General features: G+C 39.0%; 1 protein-coding gene across 63 annotated transcripts in view, besides 2 other annotated features; it reads left to right on the top strand.

Annotated features, from left to right (window-relative positions):
• Positions 1 to 23,325, top strand: part of DTNA (dystrobrevin alpha) — a 398,533-nt gene that overhangs the window by 367,190 nt on the left and 8,018 nt on the right. For 41 of the 63 annotated variants that reach the window (XM_047437332.1, XM_047437326.1, XM_047437322.1 and 38 more), the window contains 5 exons: positions 3,465 to 3,561; positions 14,738 to 14,897; positions 17,218 to 17,307; positions 19,050 to 19,218; positions 21,568 to 21,700. In XM_047437332.1, coding sequence (XP_047293288.1) covers positions 3,465 to 3,561; positions 14,738 to 14,897; positions 17,218 to 17,307; positions 19,050 to 19,218; positions 21,568 to 21,700 — 649 coding nt within the window. Of the gene's footprint in view, positions 1 to 3,464; positions 3,562 to 5,609; positions 8,312 to 14,737; positions 14,898 to 17,217; positions 17,308 to 19,049; positions 19,219 to 21,567; positions 21,701 to 23,325 lie in introns of those variants that run through there. The other 22 variants (NM_032979.5, XM_047437336.1, NM_001386771.1 and 19 more) reach the window with 2 other exon arrangements.
• Positions 41 to 140: an enhancer, noted in NCBI's record as "active region_13216". NCBI's record gives its function as "activates an Ori minimal core promoter by ATAC-STARR-seq in GM12878 lymphoblastoid cells {active_cell/tissue: GM12878}" and the evidence as "EXISTENCE:reporter gene assay evidence [ECO:0000049][PMID:35858748]".
• Positions 151 to 280: an enhancer, noted in NCBI's record as "active region_13217". NCBI's record gives its function as "activates an Ori minimal core promoter by ATAC-STARR-seq in GM12878 lymphoblastoid cells {active_cell/tissue: GM12878}" and the evidence as "EXISTENCE:reporter gene assay evidence [ECO:0000049][PMID:35858748]".

Genomic DNA, 23,325 nt, shown 5'->3' on the forward strand with positions numbered 1-23,325 from the left:
ATACAAAAAGACGAAATGAAGCAAGTTCTTTATGACTATGTTTGGATTTTACCAAGTTCCTGTTGATTGCATGGATGTTTCCGGAGGCTCTATCTTTGCTCTGCTCTTCAGACACTTTAACACCTGAGCACGGCAGAGCTTTGTTTTTCGTTAATGCATACTTTCATTTTTGTCTTAAAACCACAATGAACTTTCTCAACGATCATGTTTCCCTTTCCCTTTTCACTTTCGCCACAAGAAAACTGAAAGCTGAGTCACAGCCAGAAGTGACAATGAATATGAATGATAGGCATTTCTATGTGCTAATCTGACGCTTTGCTGCATACTAACTCTACATACACTGTCCCGTAAAATTACTGTAACAAACCTAGGAGATAGGCAGTATTATTCTACTCGTTTAATGGATAAGGAAACTGAGATTCACAGAAGTCACACAGAAGTTGCAGATATCATACCTTTCACTTAGTGTATATATTTATGTACTTATATATGATTTATAAGGAGAAATTTTTTCTTAGAAAAAAATTTGTATAATTGTGTGTAATTTATGTATATATTTCCTAAGAAAAAAATTATCTTGTATAACCATGATACCATCTTCAATTCGGGAAAGTTAATGTTGATATATGGTATTTAATATAAACCCATATTAAAATTTTGACAATTGTTCTAACACTGTTCTAAAAGAAAGTAGCTTTTAACGGCCGGGCGCGGTGGCTCACACCTGTCATCTCAGCACTTTAGGAGTGCGAGGCGGGCGGATCACGAGGTCAGGAGATCGAGACCATCCTGGCTAACACAGTGAAACCCCGTCTCTACTAAAAATACAAAAATATTAGCCGAGCGTGGTGGCAGGCACCTGTACTCCCAGCTGCTGCAGAGGCTGAGACAGGAGAATGGCGTGAACCCGGGAGGCGGAGCTTGCAGTGAGCCGAGATCACGCCACTGCACTCCAGCCTGGGCGACTGAGCGAGACTCCGTCTCAAAAAAAAAAAAAAAAAAAAAAAAAAAAAGAAAGTAGGTTTTAACACACATATACATTAGAAATAATCTGACAGACTATCAGAATAAAGGCACTTCTTTAGAGATGAATACATGTAGTGCTAGGAAAGGAAAATCACTATTTAGTCTTGTTTTCTCATTCTCCTTGGAAGGTGGAGGTTACACCACAGATTTGTTATTATACCTACATTTGGAAAACGCTGGTGGAAACTTAGAGAAGATTGAATGAAGACACTCTTAAATTAATTTTTAATTGAATTCGATGTCATATTTTTAAGAGATTACTACTGTAAGATAAATGTACAATTAGATTTTTTTAGTGTTGACTAATTCTAAATTAATTTGCCATTACTCTTAATGGCAAAAACCGCAGTTACTTTTGCACCAACCTAATAATACCAGTTAACGTTCTCTGATAGTTTTTAAATGCTTCTCTTAGTGTTTCTCACCTACAGTTTTAGAAGGTTGCTTTAACCCTCTTCCCAAAGTGTTTCTGTGGCCAAAGGGCCAAAATTACAGAACAGTATCAAGAAGAGAACTGGAAAGAAATCAGAAACATTATCTATTCTTGTACCAAAGACTACTGTGGATGTACCTGGAACACCATACACAGACAAGGTCAAAAAAAAAAAAAAAAAAAGAGAAAGAGAAAGAACACCTCCTGAATTTGTCACTGAGGAATATTCTTGAATGGGGCAAGGCTTTTGAAATTAGAATGCTTCAACCCAGGAAGACAAAGACTAAAATAAGATACCATTAAAGCATATAAAATTATGATGTTTCTCATCCTCTGGATTCAGAAAAGAAGCAATTTTAAAGGAAATTGAAAGAAAGATTGCTTCAAGAGTAAGCAGTCCTTACTCTTGTAAGGATTGCTTGTAAGTGGCAATAATAGTTAAAAATATAAATTTAAAAATTTATATTTTATAGTTAAAAAGTTAAAAATATAAATTTATTCAAAAAGAATTGTGAAATATTTATAAATTTTAAATTCATAATTCATTATAGAAGAAGCCTATAAGAAAGTGAATTAGAAATGTCCTCCACTGCTTTAGGAGGCTGAGGCAGGAGGAGCTCTTGTAGCCAGGAGTTCAAGACAAGCCTGGGCAACATAGTGAGAAACCATCTCTTAAAAAAGAAAAAAAGATTAGTCAGGCATGGTGGCACATGCCTGTAGTATCAGCTACTCATGAGGCTGATGGCGGAGGACTGCTTGAACCCAGGAGACTGAGGTTACAATCAGCTATGATTATGCCACTGCACTCCAGCGTAGGCAACAGAGTGAGACCTTGTCTCTAAAAAAAAATAGAAAAAAATAGAAATGTATCATTTATATCACTAACCTGTCCTCCCACAAAATATCTTTCAATTGAGTGAGTCATTGACCTAGCTCACTGTGACATTTTTATATCATCAGTTTTTCGTTGCAGAGTTCTTGTCATAGTTTCATTTAATATGCTATCATTGAGACTAGCCATATCCATTTATACATTAATACATACATGTTTAAAGTTTCCATGCAGTTTTAGTATGTAAGTATGAATATTTCAAACTCAAACAGAAATCTTTGGGGCAATGGGAAAATTATATGTATTACTTATTCAGTAATAATCATTCAGTAATGGATTTGGAATTTATTTGGAAAGTATACATATACTTCAGAATTGTGAACCATTAACATTCCTCATCATACTGTTTCATTTCTTTCCCCCTTTAAAGATCTTTTTGGTACCTCTTAGTGTCAACATAAATGATCGAGTATAGATTGTCCTTAGTTGTTTTCATTCTTGCTGACAGTTTAATAAAAGGTCTGTAAAACAAAACAAAATTAAGCATGAACCTTATATATCATCTTCACTTGTTGAACAAGTATGTAGAAATGCCTTTATTTTGACTTCACTTTATGAAACCAAACTCAAACCCAAAAATTTAAATGGATTGTATCTACGTGCTGTTAATATCTCACCTCTGAGAGACACCTCAATGGGTGCTGAAGATTTCAAATGTACTTTTCTAAATATATTTCCAAATACTAAGGTAATCAATATTTTCTGTGAATTTGCAAAAGGGTTCTTAGATTTGGAGAATCTGGAAGATTTGCCTTTTTCAGTGACAATTTGGTTTTTGTTTGTTTCAAGGGACCCCATAGCACATCACAGGGCCCACTACATAGTAAGCATTCAGAAAATATTTCATTCAATGGTTGATTAATTCAGGGTAGAAAGGTCTGAAGGAAACAAAAGATCTAAAAGGACTTTAATTCTGATGTAGTATGACTGCTAACAAAAGAAACACTTCCAGCTGTAATTGTTCATTCATTTGACAACAGTTCCCTGCCTGGTAACCTTGTCAGAGACCCAGAGATGCCCTTTTTCTGACAGTCCACAAGTCCCTCAAGAATGGAAATGTGATTAGCTCAGAGAGTTGCATGCCGCTTCTGATGTCAGCTGCTTCTTTCTTAGACAGCGCAAAGATGAGCTGGAACAGAGAATGTCTGCTCTCCAGGAGAGCCGGAGAGAGCTAATGGTCCAGTTGGAGGGTCTCATGAAGCTACTAAAGGTAAGACCTGCCAGATAAATTTTCCTGAGCTTATTTTCCATGTCATCTGTGAAAATTTTTGCACATAATGTGCAATGGTTTTTCCAATTGCTGTATGTGATTTCCCTCAACATGTTGTTTCAAGCTCAGATGTAAAACAATTTGTTAGACCAGTGTAGCAGTAGCTGTCAGTAATAGAACACATTCTTTTTTTTTTTTTTTTTTTTGAGACGGAGTCTTGCTCTGTCGCCCAGGCTGGAGTGCAGTGGCGCAGTCTCGGCTCACTGCAAGCTCCGCCTCCCGGGTTCACGCCATTCTCCTGCCTCAGCCCCCCGCCGAGTAGCTGGGACTACAGGCCCCCGCCACCGCGCCCGGCTAATGTTTTGTATTTTTAGTAGAGACGGGCTTTCACCGTGTTAGCCAGGATGGTCTCGATCTCCTGACCTCGTGATCCGCCCGCCTCGGCCTCCCAAAGTGCTGGGATTACAGGCGTGAGCCACCGCGCCCGGCCTAGAACACATTCTTATCCATTCCTGAAACCAGACTGCTGAGGGCCTTCATGGGGCAACTTCTTCTTGGCTTATTTCCAGTTTCTTTATGTCTGCAAGTAATAAAACTGGATTTATTTAGAAATATTTTATATTTAGTAGCTTTCAGCAATTCTGATTAAATTAAGAGGAGTGACTGTTAATATCAGTAAAATATTTTATTCCATTAGTATGCTTTATCAGTAGGTCACATGATTTCTAGTGAACTCAGACACAAACTCTAAGAGAGAATATCTCATTACTCTTCTGTAAGTAAAATGTTTAATAAGATGATTTATAGAAGTCTTCTGTAGAGTGCTGTAATCTATTTTTCTCATTGGGAAGTGGCATTCTTCTTTTAGTAAAGCCTTATTCCCTTCTTTAGTATACATTAAATTGCATTTAAAGTCAAAAGCAGGCAAATTATGGCCACATGTCTACAGTCAGCCCATGTGATCAGTGCCACATGATCATCCTGCCTGATATAAACAAGCAAGAAGCAGTATGGATTGGAACTGTGACATGTCAAAGGCAGGAAGTGAAACTTCTGATAGGAGAATGGTAAAGGGAAGACCCTGGGGCAGCTCATTTGCGAGAGAGGGTCTCCCAACTTTCAGTCCGTGGATGTCCCACGGCCCCAACACACCAACATTTGTTGTTTTTATTTTGTCTGTCCTTTCTTTCTCTCTTTTTTTTGTCTGTCCTTTCTTTCTCTTTTTTTTGTCTACCTTTCTCTTTTCTTCTTCCCTTTTTCTTCATTTTTTTTGTTTCTTTCTTGATTGCCCCCTCTTTCCTTCTTTGTTTTATTTTTTGAAAGCTACTTTGTCCCAGCCACTGTTCTTGTAAACTTTCTTTTGTTTTCCTTACTCTATTTTATTCCTTTTCCCTCCATCAGTGTCCTCTTTAACAATTGGTATTGGGAATACTTTATCTTTACTCAACAAAATTGACTTTTCAGTAATTAGATATGTACAGTGTAGAATTCAATTCTTGTTGATCTATCTTGGGTAAGACAAGACTAGATAGTTCATAACCTGCTGCTGTTTCTGGCCTGTTAATCTCATTTGATAACCAAAAATAAACTCTTTCTGCTTCCCTTTCCAAATATACCAAATGAAAAGGACTGAACCTATCTTTCCCCTCAGTGAATGACAGGAAGCTTTGAAAACTGCCCCCTATGTTTCTATTGCTTCTGTCACCATTAGCTATGACTCTTTCCCTATGGGATAGAAGTCTATTCACCACCAGCCATGTTGGTATCAACCTAGCCTAACAGAGTACTGCCTTTTATTGAGATGTACACATACCAGGACAGAGAGGTGGATTGTGTTGAAAAATGGTTGTACATGCAGAGAAAAGAGATGGGCCTGTAGTCTCAAATAACCAAGTAGACTTGGAGTGATAGTCACTGAGGTGGCAGAGGCCTGGACCTGCCGTCAAAGGTGTGTTGATGTTTCCCCATCTTGCGTTCCTTCACACTGTGTACATGCTCTTATTGGAACCCTGGGTAATCTAACTGTTATTGATTCAATCTTTCTGTAGGAAGAAGAACTGAAGCAGGGAGTAAGTTATGTCCCCTACTGCAGGTCTTAACTAACAGTGGAGGGGCCTGCCGACCTGCGGTTTTCTCATTGCTTTTGCTCTAATGTATGTTCATGCTTCAGTTTGGAAAGAGAAAAAAGTCATACTAATTTGCTTCTTTTTCAATGTAGTGCTTGAATTGAGATATATAAATTTAGCATTTTTTATAACTATCACTACTATCCACATCAAAAGAAGAACTATGACATCTTTTAGAAAAGGGAACGAATTGTCATTTATTGGAAACATTTTAGATCCCCAGAGGTATAAGTTTCAAACCAGTCTTAGCTTTTCAAGTTGTTGATCAGACCCTTCTCTTAACAGAGAGATACCACAGTCACTAGAGATACCCTGAGGTTCATGTCATCCCAAAACCCACAGCACTCAGAAGCTAACCTCTACACCCACTCACACTGTGAGTATTCAGTTCGGTTTCATTTTACTGAAAACCTGTGAAACCTCTTTTTATAAAAATCAGGCAATTAAATCCCTTTTCATCACACAATTATTGAGCCTTGTTCCCCATGGCTCACCAAAATGTGCTCAATTTTGTGAGAGAAAGACTGTACTCCATAACTGACTATTCACGTCCCATCTTTTTGGCTCTTCCCCAAAGCAGAATCCTTACTGTTGGTTGACAGTAATCTCTTTTTAAAAAGTAACTCTCAGCTTTTTCCTTAGCACCAGAGCCTTTCGGCTCCGGGAGACGAGAGGGTCATTACATACTTTTTTTTTTTTCTGGAAATAGGGGCATTGTGACTTTATAGCCTAAACTGGAGCTGTCTGAACCTGTGGTCAGGCTCAAGAGCCAGCAGGGGGAGCAGCAAACTCAAAAAAAAAAACAAATTAAATTAAATTAAATTAAATTAAATAGAAGCAAAATAAAAGCAGCTTTAATTTCAAGTGCATGTACCACGCTATGTATGACAATATATCCCACTCACTAGCATTATTTAAAAGTTTCACATTATTTCCATGGATCAATTAGAACCACAACCTGTCCAATTTCAACGTATCTTTCATTTCTTCTGTATGCTCTTTTCTATTATTCATTATGTGTGTTTGTGTGTAACAAAGAATGTTTGGAAAATGCTGGACACATTTTTACCCTTCATTCCCATGGTCTGTAAAAAAGGAAAGTGTAAAATCAATCTGTAATGTCAGACAATAAAGATAATGTATTACATTATTTTGTATTTTGTGAAAAAAATTACTTTACTAAATTAAAGTCAAATTTTAACAGAAGACAGTCCCCCTGGGTGAAGGACACATAACACATACAGCCTGTATAATTGCCCATGAATGCATACATGGGGTATTGCTATTGTATTTCCAATACACTTAGATCATGGTAAAGAAAAATGCCTTCTTCATGATACTTCTCTGCAAATGGCTTCTTTCCTCTCCTGTCTCTTATTTAGCATGTGCATAGAAAAAGGAAATAAGGTTCAATTATAACCTCCCTCCTCCTAGCAGAGAGAGAGGGCAATCATCCTGTCGTCATCAGCCTTGCTTTAGCCATTTCCCTTGGGGATACTTTCCAGGCCATTTCCCAGGCAGCAGGATCTTGAAAGGCTCCTATGGACCAGGAAGTTCGTAAACAGATGGATGCACAGAGCCAAACTGTGGCAGTGCCCCCAAGGTGGCGCCACTGCCCCCTCACCTTCCAGCTCCTCTCCACCAAGCCCCTCAGCAGCTTCTGCATCTCAGGGGGCCAACAGCGGGTACTGCGGTGTCGGTACCCAAGGACCAGGGCCCACGTCACCCAGATGTCAGCAATACATCGTCTGGGTAGTGGCAGAGTTTGCCTATTTCACTTATTTATCTTTTTTGCTTTTATACACAAGCCTCTTTTCAAAAAGGACCTGAGGCAGCTTACAACAAAAGATATAAACAGTGACTTCATAAAATTGAAATAGAAAAATCAAAAACTAAAGAAAATAAAATGTGAATATGCTAATCTTAAGGGACAAGGATGTTACTCTGCATGTTCTGGCAATGAAGCAAAAAAAAAAAAAAAAGGAAAATTATCGGTGGTTTTATCAGTACAGAAATACCACTTCTCAGGGGAACAAAATTTCTGTTGGCATAAAATATGAAAGAAAGTCTTCACTGGGAGCTTTATAGGAGTACTGGACGATAGAAAAGGAAAAAAAGCAGTCATAGATTTCATGTGGCTGTTTCTTATACTGACCTCAGTCAAAATTAAAAGCAGAACCTTATCAATCCCAGCCCTATAGAGGCGGTTCTGCAAGGAAATAAACAAATGCTGTCCAAATATAGACTTCTCATGGTAAAACATGATCTAAGGAGAGAATTTAGAGGTTTTAGACTGGCATCTGCTTCTAAATTCTGTTTTTATTTATGAGTGTTTCTCCCCTTTGGGGACATTGTCTTTGTAAAACCAAACTTAGAACACCCCCACACAACAAATTGTGCTGGATTTAATAACCTCTACTTGCTTTATCATAAGTCTGTGTGGTTCAATGTAGTGTTTTATTATACTGGCATATATAATTTCTACTTACATTGTTTCTTGTTAGAGGTAATGCATGAATTTATCCCTCTCGAGGAGAGAACATGAATTAAAAAAAATAGTGCCTGTAATATAATGTGATGATTATGATATCACAAGCAATAAATTTTTTTTTACAAAACTTGAATTGAAGTTATCCTACCCTCTTTCTTCTTTGTGTATCTTTAAGATTTATTGAAGGAACCATAAAAAGAACACTCATAAAACGTTTAATAATGAAGGCAGCTGGGGTATAATTGCAGTACCAATATGTTCCAGAGTTTCTGGTACACTTCCAGTTCCAAATATTATGTACCAGTCTAAAACTGAGTAGACTGACTTTGACTCCAGAAAGTAAGGTCTCAATATTAGTTTTCTTAGCAAAGTTACTGGAATTAGACCTGAATTACAGTGGTACCAGATCTTTGCTCACGGCTGTAAGCTTAACTTTCATGTTCATTAATTTCAAACTATTGATAATCCATGGCTAATAGGATTATTGTATAGATTTTGATAGATACTGGATGTGAAAGCACTTTGTAAAATCTTATACGTCAGCTATAAGTATGAATGTATGTATATAGGTATACATACACACAGGTATATATAAACTTTTCAAATTTGGTCCATATTTTACACACACTCACATACACACACACACACACATTCACTTCTCTTCCTTACAGTTCATTAACAGTGTCTCCATCAGGGAAAGAAATTTGAAAAGGACTTTTAATTTGTTCAGATCTCTTGTAATTGCTTTTAACAGTAGAAAAAAAGAGTCATTTTTATGTTAGAGAAAGTGACAGACAAGTCCAGTAAGTTTATATTTTCCTATTTCTGGTAACATTAGATATGATCCTAGATATACTAATATCTACAGAGTGTGGCTTTCGCCATAATTTGAGTAGGTATATTAAACAGCTAATACAGTGAAGGGCTGCCAGTAACAGATGTTCTATATGAGTGCAATGAAACATCTGATATTTTTTCTTAAGTTTTATCTATAATAAACATTTTTGTGTGAGAGAGGTGATTAGTACAGGGTGCATATTTTAGTCAAGGATAAAACTAAGGCCGTGCACGGTGGCTCACGCCTGTAATCCCAGCACTTTGGGAGGCCGAGGCAGGCAGATCACAAGGTCAGGAGATCGAGACCATCCCGGCTAACACGGTGAAACCCTGTCTCTACTAAAAATACAAAAAATTAGCCGGGCGTGGTGGCAGGCGCCTGTAGTCCCAGCTACTCGGGAGGCTGAGGCAGGAGAATGGCATGAACCCGGGAGGCGGAGCTTGCAGTGAGCTGAGATCGTGCCACTGCACTCCAGCCTGGGCAACACGACACAGCGAGACTCCGTCTCAAAAAAAAGGGGGTAAAATTAAGCTTATGCTAATTTGCAGGACTTTTTTTCAGACTTACAATAAGGATCCATTTTTTTAAACTACATTTTAAACTTTGGGATTGAATTGTTTCTTATTTGGGAAGATAATGTCTATACATTGGTATTATGTTAAGTAATACAATTGTTCTAACTTGGTGGGGAAAAAAAGTCAAGCATCATTCCAAATTCCATCTCCTACCCTTATTCTCTTCTCTGTTTATAACTGGATGGTCCAATTAAGTCAGGAAATTGTAGTCATCAGGTTTCTACTTCTTCCAAACACTTCATGGAATACTAGCAGGCCAGCAATAACCTGCTTGGGCCTCACCTTCCTGGCTTTTCCTAGCTCATCCTCTCTGGTGGGTATTCTATGCAGGCATGAACCAGTCAAAAGCGAGGGAGAGGGATAATTCACCTCAGAAATGATCAACTGCAATATAAAGATGATCGTCTAGTGTTCAAAAACATACCCTCCCAGACTCTCTCTTTTTAAAATTAAGTATTGATTATTATAATTAATTCTAAGTAAGTAAATATTATTTCTCTGCTTAAAAACCTAGGAAGATGACTCTCTGGTTCACAATAAAGTCTACCCTGGAGGTCCCGAGACCTGCCCATCTCCCTCTTCTAGCCTCATTTCTCTCTACACCCAGCAGCCAGCCTGACACCAGAGCCACAATGGCCTTCCCACCCTCTCCACAATACGTGTCACATTTCCCATGCCTTGCTCCTGCTGTTCCCAGGTTGCTCTGCTCTTCTCTTCTCCCCACACTTTCTCATTTCTGCCTGCAAATCTTCACTGTTAAAACCCAAGTCAAATGATGCCTCCTGCCTGAACAGTCGGAATTAATCACCTCTCATGTACCCCCACAACACTCTATACACAATGAGCACTTTAAAAGGCCTGATTATAAAAATTATCATCAGTGTGATGATAGCCAGTGAATTTATATTGGAAGAAAGGATAAAAACAGGGCTGAATGCTGCTAAGCACTGCTTTGCTGCACCTTCCCAAGCTGCTAGGTGCGGCCAGGCATGACCAGACTGCATTCTCAGCCAAACTGAGAGGCAGACTCTTCAGGTCTAGCGGGGAGGGGGATATATAATTCTCTGCTGTTTCACCAGGGTGTCCTGATTCAACAATTAGACATTTGCTCCTTTCCTTGAAGCATCCCTCATTTCTGGTGGTGAATAGAAATCAAAACACTTCCTGGAAAATATCAGAAAATGTATGAATCTTGTCAGACTTTTTAAAAAAATGGATACAACAGCAAGTTGAGTAGACTTGGAGGATGGTGCATAGAGATTAATTTTTCATTTATTCTCCAGGAAGTGAGCTATTTTAAATTTGCCAAGTGTGATATATGTTTTCCTTCTTCCATAAATCAACTCTCTCCTTGGGAATTTTAGATCTATATATTGATCTGCATGGACCATTGTCCCTTAAGTCTTTGCTCCATTAATCATTGAGTAATTTCCAGGAAAGGATATTCACAGAGATTATTCACTCTAACTCTTCTACAGTTGTTAGCAGACAACCATGCCTCATGACCAGGCTGGAGGCCACCATCCCACCGAGGCCACTTCCTGTGAAAATGAAACTCAGTGACATCATCACTGATCTGCCCCAATGCCAAGAGGCCACTGCCTTTTCCTAGTGTTCCTACAAGAACAGAACAGAAAGGAAGGCCAGAGATGGCATTCCTCACAGTGGGTAGGCACTAGGAAGATGCTCTGCATCAAACTGGACAGTGTCCTGACATGGAGAGGTGGGGCCGTGATCACCCAGGGTGTCAGTGTCCTACCCCCAAAAGTCTGGGTAAAGGCTGGATGTGACATGGGAGTTGCCAGTTGTGGGAAAGATGCAACTGATTATTCTCTTCAGCACAGGATCTTCCACCTAAATTCTTCACATAATCAAACTGCATGAAATTGCACCAATTAGAGATTCCTTTGGGAAATGGTGGCTATTCATCATTCACACATTGGTGTAATTTAGATTCAGTCAACTGTTTTTCCCTTAACACACAACGAGAGTCAATGATTTTCTTCTTATTGCAGAACCACTAATGGGAGTTTTGAAAAAGAATGCCCACAGAAAGGAGTAGCAAAAGTTGCCTTTGAGACCAGGAACTGAGCAGGGAGAGGTTGGGTGAGGCATGCCTCAGACCCACAGGAATTAGCAGAACAGCCCAGTGCACTAGGAGATGGGGAGAGGCTTACAGAAAAGGAGGTGGAAGGGCCAGACATATGAGTCTTCTTACAAATGCTGCCTAGAGGGAGGAGCCCCCAGCACCCTGGAGAACCTGGTATAAGAGGTATAAGCAAGGCTGGTGTGCACTACAGCCCCAGAACAGACATTAAAGTAGTGAAATATGGTCCATAGCCCCATATCTCAAATCACTAGATCCAGATATGTTCCAGAATTTGGCATTTATCTGATTTTGAAAAGCAATATGATGCAGATATCGTATCAGTTACCTCACATCCATTAAGACCAAATTCATTATGGAATGACCAGTGTTTGTCAGAGCTTTTTTGGCTTTCAGAATTGCAAATAAGAGATTGTAGGCCTGTACTTCTGTACCAATTGATAAACAGTCCAAGGCCCTCCCATCACCCTGAGCACCCATACATCTTTTCCATGATCCAGCAACTAAAAGGTATTGCCTGGCCCAGTAGCAGGAAGCCCTAGGACGCTGCTCCAGCACCACAAGGTGGTCCTACTGGGTCTGTGCCCTGTGTCTTTTCCCTCTTCAGGCTGCTGAACCTTTCTATAGTAGTGAAGCATAGATGGAAGCGTATGATGGCTGGTCACAGTGCCCACAGTCCTTAGACTCAGCATGGCAAACCCTGAGCTTGGAGTCTAAAGACTGGGGATCAATTTTATCTCTGCCATTCTCTTGCTCAGAAACCTTGGGTAATCCAGTTATCTCCTCTTAGCCTCAGTTTGCTAATATATAAAATGGGAATAATAATACTTCATATGGTTATTAAGAGGATTACATGAAGTATTAGGGGTTAAAGTGCTTTATGGACTGCAAATTGCTATTCAAATATAAGATATTACCACTTGTACCACTGTACTAGGAAAATGAAACAAAACAGTGTATGTAAAAGTGCTTTGTACATTGAATTACTTACAAAAGTGGAGTTATATTATTATTGTGAACTTCTCACCATGGAAGACAATCTGAGTTCCCAGGGATGAGACGGTAACCCACACTGATAGCCAAGAGAATCCTACTTCTTAATAACCACTCTGTCCAACTTCCCTTCTCTAGTCCCCACTCCCGGCTGTGTTTGGTCCCTTGATAAAGAGGACAGAGACAAGAGGCTCAGGAGCCTTGCTAAGGCCTCTGCCTTAAAAAGGGTGTACAAGAGGAATTGCCAAAGTAGGAAGAGCTCAGGGCATCTGACCAGCGTCTGTCTCCATTGAGGGACTTTTTGCCAGCCATGGCCAGCAAGGCTCCCGCAGCCCAGGGCACTCAGAGCCCCTGGGCTCAGCCCCAGCCCTGCCCCTCTGACTCCGTCTCCAGATAAAGCAATTATTTTCACCTCTCTGAGTACTGGGCTCCACAACTTCACATTTAGAGTAAGAATGCATACTTCCCAGGGTCATGGAGAGAAATCAGTGAGAGTGTATGTGAAAACCCTTTGAACATCATAAGGCACAACGCAAATGTGAAATTATTTATTATTGGCATGGGAAGGTCAAGGATGCAGTGGTAGCTCAGAAGCAGAAGGTTTCAAGGTAATGGGGCTGAGCTGCCAGAGTTTGCTGGGGAAAACTAGACCCCTCCTTGAGCAGGCCGAGGGAAGCAGGCTGCAAAAACATCACAACCGGGCAAAGTTCTCTTCCTTGGGCCTGGACAGACCATTACAAGGTACTGTTGAGAGTGAAAGAATGGGACCCTCAGCCCATTGGGCACCCCATGGGTTATTTTCTGTGCTCTGTTCTGTTTTGCTTCATTTTTAATTCTGGGTTTTTCTCAGTTTATGGCTTTAACAATTATGCGTGATGCTGAGCCTGGAGAGCTAACAGCATGGCATTTTTCAGGATTGATGTGGTGTGTTTTAACCACAAGCCACTGAGCCCAAAGCAAATATCTAAATGGAATATTCCAGAGCATTGCTCTGGTGGTATACATCTAGGAGTTTGAATGGGTTAATGATGACTCTCTGGGCCTTGCTGGAGAAGAATTCTCACTCTAGCAACCACAGCAAACAGACTGGGATGGAATTGATGTGAACACCTAATCTGTTGTGTATGCACTCAAGGGTCTCCTTGCATTTTCTTACGCATGTGGCTGACTTCTTTTGTCAACTAATTATTAAAACAGGGAGAATATTTCCAAGGCACCTCATTTAGAGACAAATCCTTAAGATTCAAAGTGTGACAGTCTCAGAATAGTTTCATGCCAAAAACTGTAGTGCAAAGATAAGTTCCTTCAGTTGTTTTCTACTTTTTTCTTTACTTGTCTTTAAATCCTACTATTCTTATTGTCCTGCTAGAATACTGCTTTTTCATAGGAGAAGAGAAGGACATTTCCTGCAGGAAATAATACCAAAAAATTAGAAAACAAGGTTTCTTCTTCTTCTTCTTCCCCATTGGAATCCCTGAGTTACTAATTTGACAAAATCAGCTTTTACTATAAAATAGGGATAAAACAATTTACACTTCATTTGATTCTTAATTTGAGACTTAATATGCACAATATTGTATGACATGATTTAAACTCTTATCCTCTAAAGATAATGCTAGTACAGTCAGGTTGAAAATTCAGAAAGCATCCATTGCAAATAGTCTTCTAGTTTGTATTTTAAACTTTCTCCTTAATGTCTTCTTAGTCCTCGGAGACCTTCCTTCAAGGAGAAAGTATCCACACCTTGTAATTATCTGCATTTAACAGTACCTTCATTTTATGGGCACATGTCCCATATACTGTAGAGCAATGCTGTACTAATAGTTTTAGCTTTCAATATTTAACCCAAACTTCAGATTACATACAATAAGGTCCTAAATTATCTGCACCTGCAAATTAGCTTTAGGATTACCAACACAATTACCTAGGATTTCCTCCTGCTTTGAAATTTCATTGTCACTGTTTTCAACAATCAACTGAGGCATTGGGGATGACATATGACATTTTCTTGGGAAAGCAAATTAATGACCTGCATTGTCTCTCCAGACTCAGGGGGCAGGCTCTCCCCGCTCCTCCCCCAGCCACACCATCAGCAGGCCAATTCCCATGCCCATCCGGTCAGCGTCAGCCTGCTCCACCCCGACGCACACGCCGCAGGACTCCCTCACAGGAGTAGGGGGAGATGTACAAGAGGCATTTGCACAAAGTAAGTGGCTTTATTTTTTGTTGTGGTCTGCTTTTATGTGGCAAATAGGTCACCAAGGTCTATTGAGTGGTCAAGAGTTGTCAGAACCACATGTGACTATTGTAGGGTCTTTCATGGCTGGTGTCAGAGCCTGGCCTGCCAGCCATTTTGGGAACTCCCTACACCAATTTGTTCTCACTTCACGATTTTACCTTCCTTTGGCTTTTGTTGCCCTGCCTTATTTTTTAGTAAGTCTTTGTTCATCAAAAGACAGGAAATCTTTTCACCAATACCCCCAGAAAACTTCATAAATGTAATCTATTTTTTTTAATTCTTAGAGATTTTCTTATCTCATATTGTCTTTTCTTTATATTAAAGTCAAGACTGAGATAAGTAATCACAGCTCTTTAGCAATGAGGTAACCAAGAAGGACATTTAGTCATTTGACAGATTCCCTGTTCTGATGCCCCGAAGAGTTGAATCATTGCCTCTGTAAGGCAGGGCTACAGGGTTAAGCCTCTGCAGTTAGAGGAGTACAAAGAGGGATGGGGATGCCAGCCAGCACTTTCCCATGACAGGGAGAGTAACTTTATTAATTTAGAAATATTTTTAACACTTTTTAAAACCTCTTCTTACTATCACTTTTTAAATTTATAGAGAATAATAATAAAAAAATCATTCTGTAGACCTTCACCGGCAGCTTTCATTCCCAGAAGTAACCACTATTAACAGTTTGATCCTTCCCAAAGTTTTGCTTTTGTGTAAATAGATATGTTTAAGGATGTGATTATAGACACATACTCTTTTTTTCACACAAATAGGATCATGCATTGCATTTTGGGGTCTGCAATTTGCATTTTCTTTAAATTAGCAATATATCATTAACATTCTTCGAAGTCTTCACATAGAGATCTAAGGAAAAGAGAGACATGTTTGAATATGGGTTTTAAGGCAAAAGAGATCATAAACAAAGTTAAAAGACAGAAAACAGTCTTGAGGAAACCATTTCCAGTATATGTGTCAATCAAGTTTCATAATTTCAGTTATACAAAAATCATGTAGAGATCAGAAAGAATAGACACCACCAAAACAAAAACAGGTGAAATATACGAATAGACAGAAGAACAAAGAGAAATTGCCAATAAATATATGAAAAGATGTTCAACCTCTAATTACAGAAATATAAATTTTAATAAGTATCACTTTTTGCCTAGAAGATTAAAAAAATGTTTTGAAACATCATAATATCCAGGGATAGCAAAAGTGCGAGGAAAAAGGTACTCTCGTCCATGTAGAGGGGTGATAAAATCTTAACACACTTCAATGAGAGAGAATGATGAACTCTCTACTCTGAGGGAAAAGGAAGGATCTATATTAGAACTTTTTCTTCTAGGCACTGAATATAACTCAAGAGTTTTTAAAAATGTAATTCACAAAATAACTTTTAATTTTTAGAAAGAAAATATCCCTTCTCTTAATCATATTTTAAAGAAATGTACTATATTTTAAATCAATTTGTGATTTCCATTATAATTAATGTTTTTACTTAACTACTCTGATTTTTTTAATTTAAACATTTATTATTTTATTTAGTTAGTATTACTTTCTGAAAAATGACGGAATGAAATTCCATTAACCCTTAGTGTGCCTGAAACAAAATAATAATCTTTCTCTGCCATAAAGAAACATAGTCTAAGTTCCAATTTATAGTACCAGACATGCATCTGCCCATGTCTTGGCAGAAGAAACAAGAATCCTCACCCCTTTCTCACGCTCTGGGGGCATTCAGTGCATGTGGGTTTCCCATTCCCAAGTGGTACTTACACTGGCAGGAAGAGCTCCAAGAGCCCTGATAGGAGACAGCGCATGTCCTAGTAGAGACCAGAATCTAAAGGGCTCAGCCACCAGGTAAGGGCAAGAAAAATAATAGCAGCTAGGAAGGCGCAGCTCTCCTGGAAAACCTGATTTTTCATCTGTGTGGATTATTCTTAAGAAGGGTGACCACACGCACTGGTTTACCTGGAACCATCCCAGTTTTGCCAGGTCAGCCAGCCTTATTCATACTGCTCTCTTTCACCTTCAAAATTGTCCCCATATGGACAAATAATATATGAAACTCCATCATTAGCCATGTCTTCTTACTGCAGGACCCACTGCCCTAAGCAGTGTTTTGTTGTTGTTGTTGTTCTTGTTTCAGGAAATGAACTAAAGCACTTCTGAAAAGGAGAAGTCTTAGAAGTTTTCTTGCTTTAGGTTATTAATGGGAAGGATAAATAAACAACATAAAAATTTAGGATAGAAGGAAGCTTTGGTTTTTTAAATTATTTCTTCTTCCCTGAAGGTTCAAGAAGAAACTTAAGGAATGACTTGCTAGTGGCTGCAGATTCCATCACTAACACTATGTCCTCTCTTGTGAAAGAGCTGAATTCTGGTGAGTTCCTGATTCCCTCTCATTTGTCTGCTCATCATGGAGGGATCCATAAGTGCTAGGGGTCTCTCTTAGAGATCTGCTTATTGTCTAATATCAAAAGATTCTTTAAAGCTCTATGTGATATTTTGTTGGTCTATTCAGATTTGAGGGGTTTTTTTTTTGTTTGTTTGTTTTTGGTTTTTTGAGACAGGGTGTCTCTGTGTTGCCCGGCTGAAGTACAGTGGCACCATCATAGCTCACTGGTATGTCAAACACTTGGGCTCAAGTGATCCCCCTACCTCAGCCTCCCTAGTAGCTGAGACTACAGGCACATGCCAGCACGCCTGGCTAATTTTTTGTTGTTGTTTTCATAGAGACAGAGTCTTTGCTATGTTGCCTAGGCTGGTCTCAAACTCCTGGCCTCAAGTGATCCTCCTGCCTCGGCCTCCCAAAGTGTGTGAGCCACTATGCCTGGCCTATTCAGATTTTTTAAGTAATGTTTATATTTTGCTTATTAAAAGACTATTAACACATACTCAATGTAGAAAGTTTGAAAAAGGCAGAGAAGAACAACGAAAAATATTCAAACTGACCTATAATTCTGGAATCCAAAGACAGCCACTGTTAACATCTATGGTGACCTAAAACAACATGATGCTAAGGTTATTTTATAGGGTCAAGTGTATTATTTATCTTTTTTTGAGATGGGGTCTTGCCTTTTTTCCCCAGGCTGGTCTTGAACTCCTGGGCTCAAACAGTCCTCCTGCTTCAGCCTCCCGAAGTGCTGGGATTCCCAGCCCTTATCTATTTAGGTTTCATTAATTTGGAATGCCTGATCATTTAAATTTGAATTTCAAACTGAAATTTACCTTTGCAATGTCTCTGAAGATAGATCTGCCCAGAAATAAATAGCATAAAATTTAAGGAGACTTTTTATCCTTTTAATACTACAAAGAGTGTTCAAAACTTTAGCAGTATGAATATGCAAATAAATATCTTACCAGTCACTAATACATCTCCATCTATTCCTTAAGGCCGACCTACCAAGAGATTTGTCTGGCAAGACTATGGTCTTACAGCTGAGATTGCAACTATAAGAAATAAAACTTCAGTTTTAAAAAAATCCTGGACTTCGCTTTCTTAAAGCCTCTCAATTGAAAATTGTTGCTGCTAATTTAGATTAAGATTACCAAACGGAATAAAAAGATAGTAGTTAATACATCATGATTAATGGCAGGTAACCACTGCCCTAGCAAATGATGAGTACAAAGTTATTCTTGGTGTAGAAGTCTTAAGTACTGTTAGTTTATACTCATAATTCTTTAAAGTATTAAGTGATAGGGTTCACTTAATATTTTAAGTTCATATTTTAAGCATTTTAGGTGAATATTTTATGGTTAGGATTAGGTTTTAACTCATAGTTCTTAAATTAGTGTAATATTAAGCAAAAGTAACAATTTTAGTTAAGTCTCTTACAGAAAGGAAAAAGTAGAAGTCTTAAAGAGTTAAGTCAGTTACTAAGATGGCAAAAATTCCTCATAACATTTCTGAGATTTTAAAAATGCTGTATACCAAATGATTTTATAGTAATTCATGTCAATATCAATTCTTATTTTGAAACAATAAAAATGTATTTGATTAAAATATGATAACTGGTTAACATTTTACACAGCACAGGTTGATTTGTGAAGCCTACTCCTTTATTTGCAGGTCATAAAAAAATCTAACGAGTCATTCTTTATTTCTTCAATTGTATCTGCTAGAGGTTGGGAGTGAAACAGAGAGTAATGTGGATTCTGAATTTGCACGGACTCAGTTTGAGGATCTTGTTCCCTCACCAACCTCTGAAAAGGCTTTTCTAGCGCAAATCCATGCCCGAAAACCTGGGTACATTCACAGTGGAGCTACCACAAGTACCATGCGTGGCGACATGTGAGTATCTTCCGCTTGGAAGCATTTTCTCAGTAACAAAACAATCTGTAGGAGACAATAAGAAAGTAAAAGCATAATTGTTTAGGGTTTTTTTAACCTTCAGAAGGGGTGACATAGTTTTCTGTTCTGCCAGAGATATAGAAGGGTGCTACATTTAAATTCGGCATTGTAATATTTCCCCTCTTACAATTTCCAGAGAGTTATCAATAACCTAAACCAACCAGTGCCTATCAAGAGCCTGCCTTGCCCAAGGCACATTGCTAGTGCTATACAAAATAGTATTAAAAAACTGCTGCCACCCTTTTAGGACTCACAGACTAGTTCAGGAGATAAATCATCCTATCTTCTGAACTTATTGTATTTGCACTTAGAGGATACCATGACATTGGAGAGGTCTCTGTCCAGAATTGGTGTAAACAACATCACATAAGTATTTGGAATTGAAATAAGTACATGTATAAAATCTCATTATAAAGAAATCCAGTTTGGTTGACTTGTTGAATTTGTATGAATCTGACCCTCCAAAGACTTATTTGCAAAAGTTTTCACCCAGTTCTGGAGCTTGTCAGAAACCAGCAGCATCAGTAACGTCCCCACTAGACTTTCTGTGACCCTGGATCAGCTCAAATTAGTCAACAGAGAAAACCAAAGCTGAGAAACAAAGGCAAAGCTGGGACAGAGCTGCAGAGCCCAACTTGGGAGAAAAAGGAGAAAAACAAAAGAAATGAAGAAAGTGGCCCATTAAATGACCATGGTTCATGGAGTTATGGGAAATGTGGGCAAAGGCTGACCCAAAAGCTGGGGGAGGGAGTTTCTGAATGCTAAAAATACTTCAGAAGGGTGATGTTGCTTAATATGAAAAGTACTTCAGACTAGTCTATAAAAATAAACTGGCCATTTTAAAGACTCAGAGAAGAAACTAAACAGAGGCCTTTCTGGTGTTTGGCTCTCCATCCAAGCAGTGAATAAACAATCAGTAATCATGGAGAATTATCAAGAGGTGTGGTCTGAGAGTCAGCTATGAAGCAGCAGAGAGTAGGATCAAAACAAAACCATTATCATGGGACTTAACATGGCAGTACGCTGCTGCTTAATATAGTTTGCTTTCTTGTCCTTTCTTCTGTATTCTAGAATTGTTGGATTTGTTATTCAAAATGGTGAATTAGTTGTCATCTGTTTTGTCTGGTAAATTCATATCTATTTGACTTTTTATTATTAAGCATTTATATGGCAGTTAGCTAGAATTTCCTTGTCCTAATTCTAAAATCCAAGACTATTGAGGCCACCCTAATCTGCTAGCCCTGGTATGCTGAGTAGCAGTACCAGCTACCAACATGTGACTCAGGAGTTAGGGAAGGAAAGTTAACAGAGTCCTGGGCAGACCCATTTAGCCTGGCCCCAAACCTCCAAAAATAACCAGAACATGTTGTACAGCTATAAATAAACGCAAACAACGACATTTAAGTTCCAACCTAGAAACTTCTTCTTGACCACTTATTTCATTTTAGGGAATAATTTAATATTTCTATTGTCTAAACATGTACTTGTGTTTTACCCTGAGACTCTTTTAGTCCTATGATTTAGGTAGTGAGTTTATGTCCAGCCCCATGAAAAGCTTTGCATAGTCTAGGATGAATAGATGGAGACAGAGTCCCACATTAGGGAATGAGGTCATTTTTATCTATTTATTTGATAGTGGAATTGGATAATTAAAATGCTTTTTTTTTTTTTTTTTTTTTTTTTCAGATTTAGAGCTAAGGTCAAGAGTTATGGGTTAGTAGCCCTCCTGGCATTGACTAGCTGATATTCTAAGACTTAATTCTATAAAAATAAGGCATGAATGTGGTATGCATGCATATGTGTATGTGCATGTATGTGCGTATGTGTAACACAAAAGAGGTTAAATTATAACCAAATGTCCTTAAGCATTATTTCACTAGAGGGCTCACTCTCCACACAGAAAGTGATCTTGGGTTCTATTTTAAACAAGAATAAAAAGAGCCCTCAGATTGGGAAAACTTTGTATCCCCTCAAAAGATGTTTGCCATTTTTTAAATTATAGAACATTTAAAGGGCCAACCCATTCCAGTAAACCCTAGGAAAAGATAAATGACCAATGATCGCAACTGCCATAAAAAAATTGTGTATGAAAATACCTTGATCATATATCGCTTCAAACCTCCAAAATGTTTCCAAGTTTTTTTTAGGTATTACTAAAGAAGACATGAAAGTGACTTGGAGAACTAAGGGGAAATAAAGGTGCCAACGAAACTACAGCTCACACATGAATCCCGCTTGTAATTCTCTTTTAAGATTTGCTCTAACATGTCATCTGTGGTTTATTTTCAGGGTTACGGAGGATGCAGATCCCTATGTGCAGCCTGAAGATGAAAACTATGAAAATGACTCTGTCCGGCAGCTGGAGAATGAGCTCCAGATGGAGGAATACCTGAAACAGAAGCTGCAAGATGAAGCTTATCAGGTACAGGGATCCAGGCCCACCCCACCCCACCTCTTCTGCCTCAACCCCTTGGTAGCTGGGTCTTTGACATGACTTGCAGAATCAGAGCCTTCTTCCTTCCACCCTCCCTTTTCAAAATACACTGATTTCACTCCTTAATCCGTGTCTTTTAGACAGTAAACATTTTAAATACTTCTTTTTTTTTTAAGACAGAATTTCACTCTGTTGCCTAGGCTGGAGTGCAGTGGTGTGATCTTGGCTCACTGCAACCTCCGTCTCCCTGATTTAAGTGATTCTCCTGCCTCAGCCTCCCGAGTAGCTGGGACTACGGGCATGCACCACCACGCCCAGTTAATTTTTGTATTTTTTAGTAGAGAAGGGGCTTCACCATATTGGCCAGGCCAGTCTTGAACTCCTGACCTCGCGATCCACCCACCTCAGCCTCCCAAAGTGCTAGGATTACAGGCGTGAGCCACTGCACCCACTCTTATAGCTGTCACTCACCATGTATTCTTTTAAATTCTGCCCTAGAAAGTGATAAACAGCCTTCTTATATTGGAAAAAAACAAGGTAACTAACAGTCCAGACTCTTTCAGGCCCATTAAGAAAGATGCTTTTTCTCATAATTATTTTTAAATGGATACAAAGAACAGGGCACGAGGAAATTGAATAAGCATAAACCCACCACTTCCCTTGAATTATTTGCCCTCAGTCTTCCTCATTGCCCACCTCATGCCAAGTGTAAGTAGGAGAATGGCAAAATTCCTGGAGAAATGTTGGGGGAACTGCAGGCCTGTGTTCATCAAGGTATGGACGGACAGATTTTCAGATGTACTGGAGTATGTTAGCCACCTGAAAATTCACTGAACATGACATATACAATTGGCAATAAATGTAACCAGCGACTCATCCTAAAGGCCATGCATTTCCCCATGGAGGTCGTTCTACTACCTTGTTTGTCTTCCTGGTATGTTCCTTTTCCCTTTAATTCACAGGCGTTTACTTGGGGTTCTGGTATTTCAGGGATGTTTGCCTGGTTGAACCTGGGCCTCAATGGTTATTTTATCCTGTCAGACTTTCTGTCCAGTGGCCAGACAAGTTTTCTGCACATTCTTTTGTTTTTCTTTTTTCCTTTTTTTTTTTCTTTTTGAGACAGGGTCTCATTCTGTTGCCCAGGCTGGAGTGCAGTTGCCCAATCATAGCTCACTGCAGCCTCTAACTCCTGGGCACAAGCTATCCTCCCACCTCAGCCTCCTGTAGCTGGGACTACAGGTGCACACCACCATGCCTGGCTAATGTTTTTATTTTTTGTGGAGTCAGGGTCTCACCATGTTGTCCAAGCTGGTATTGAACTCCTGGTCTCAAGTGATCCTCCCACCCCGGCCTCCCAAAGTGTTGGGATTATAGGCATAAGCCACCATACCCAGGCTTTCTGCATATTATTAGGGCAGCAGTGCCCTGTCTTACTTTGTTATTGAAAAAAAAGGGAAGCAGAGAGAAGAAATTATCTCCTATTTCTCATATGTCTATAGATAAAGCCTTGAAATATTTTTCCAAGAAGATTGTAGCAGGAGGGAAACGGAAGCCCACCAATTCCATCCCAGCAATATAAAAACAAAGTTTTGCCTCTTTGGAATGTTCCATTT

This window comes from Homo sapiens, chromosome 18, assembly GCF_000001405.40.
Source record: "Homo sapiens chromosome 18, GRCh38.p14 Primary Assembly".
NCBI classification, from domain to species: domain Eukaryota; kingdom Metazoa; phylum Chordata; class Mammalia; order Primates; family Hominidae; genus Homo; species Homo sapiens.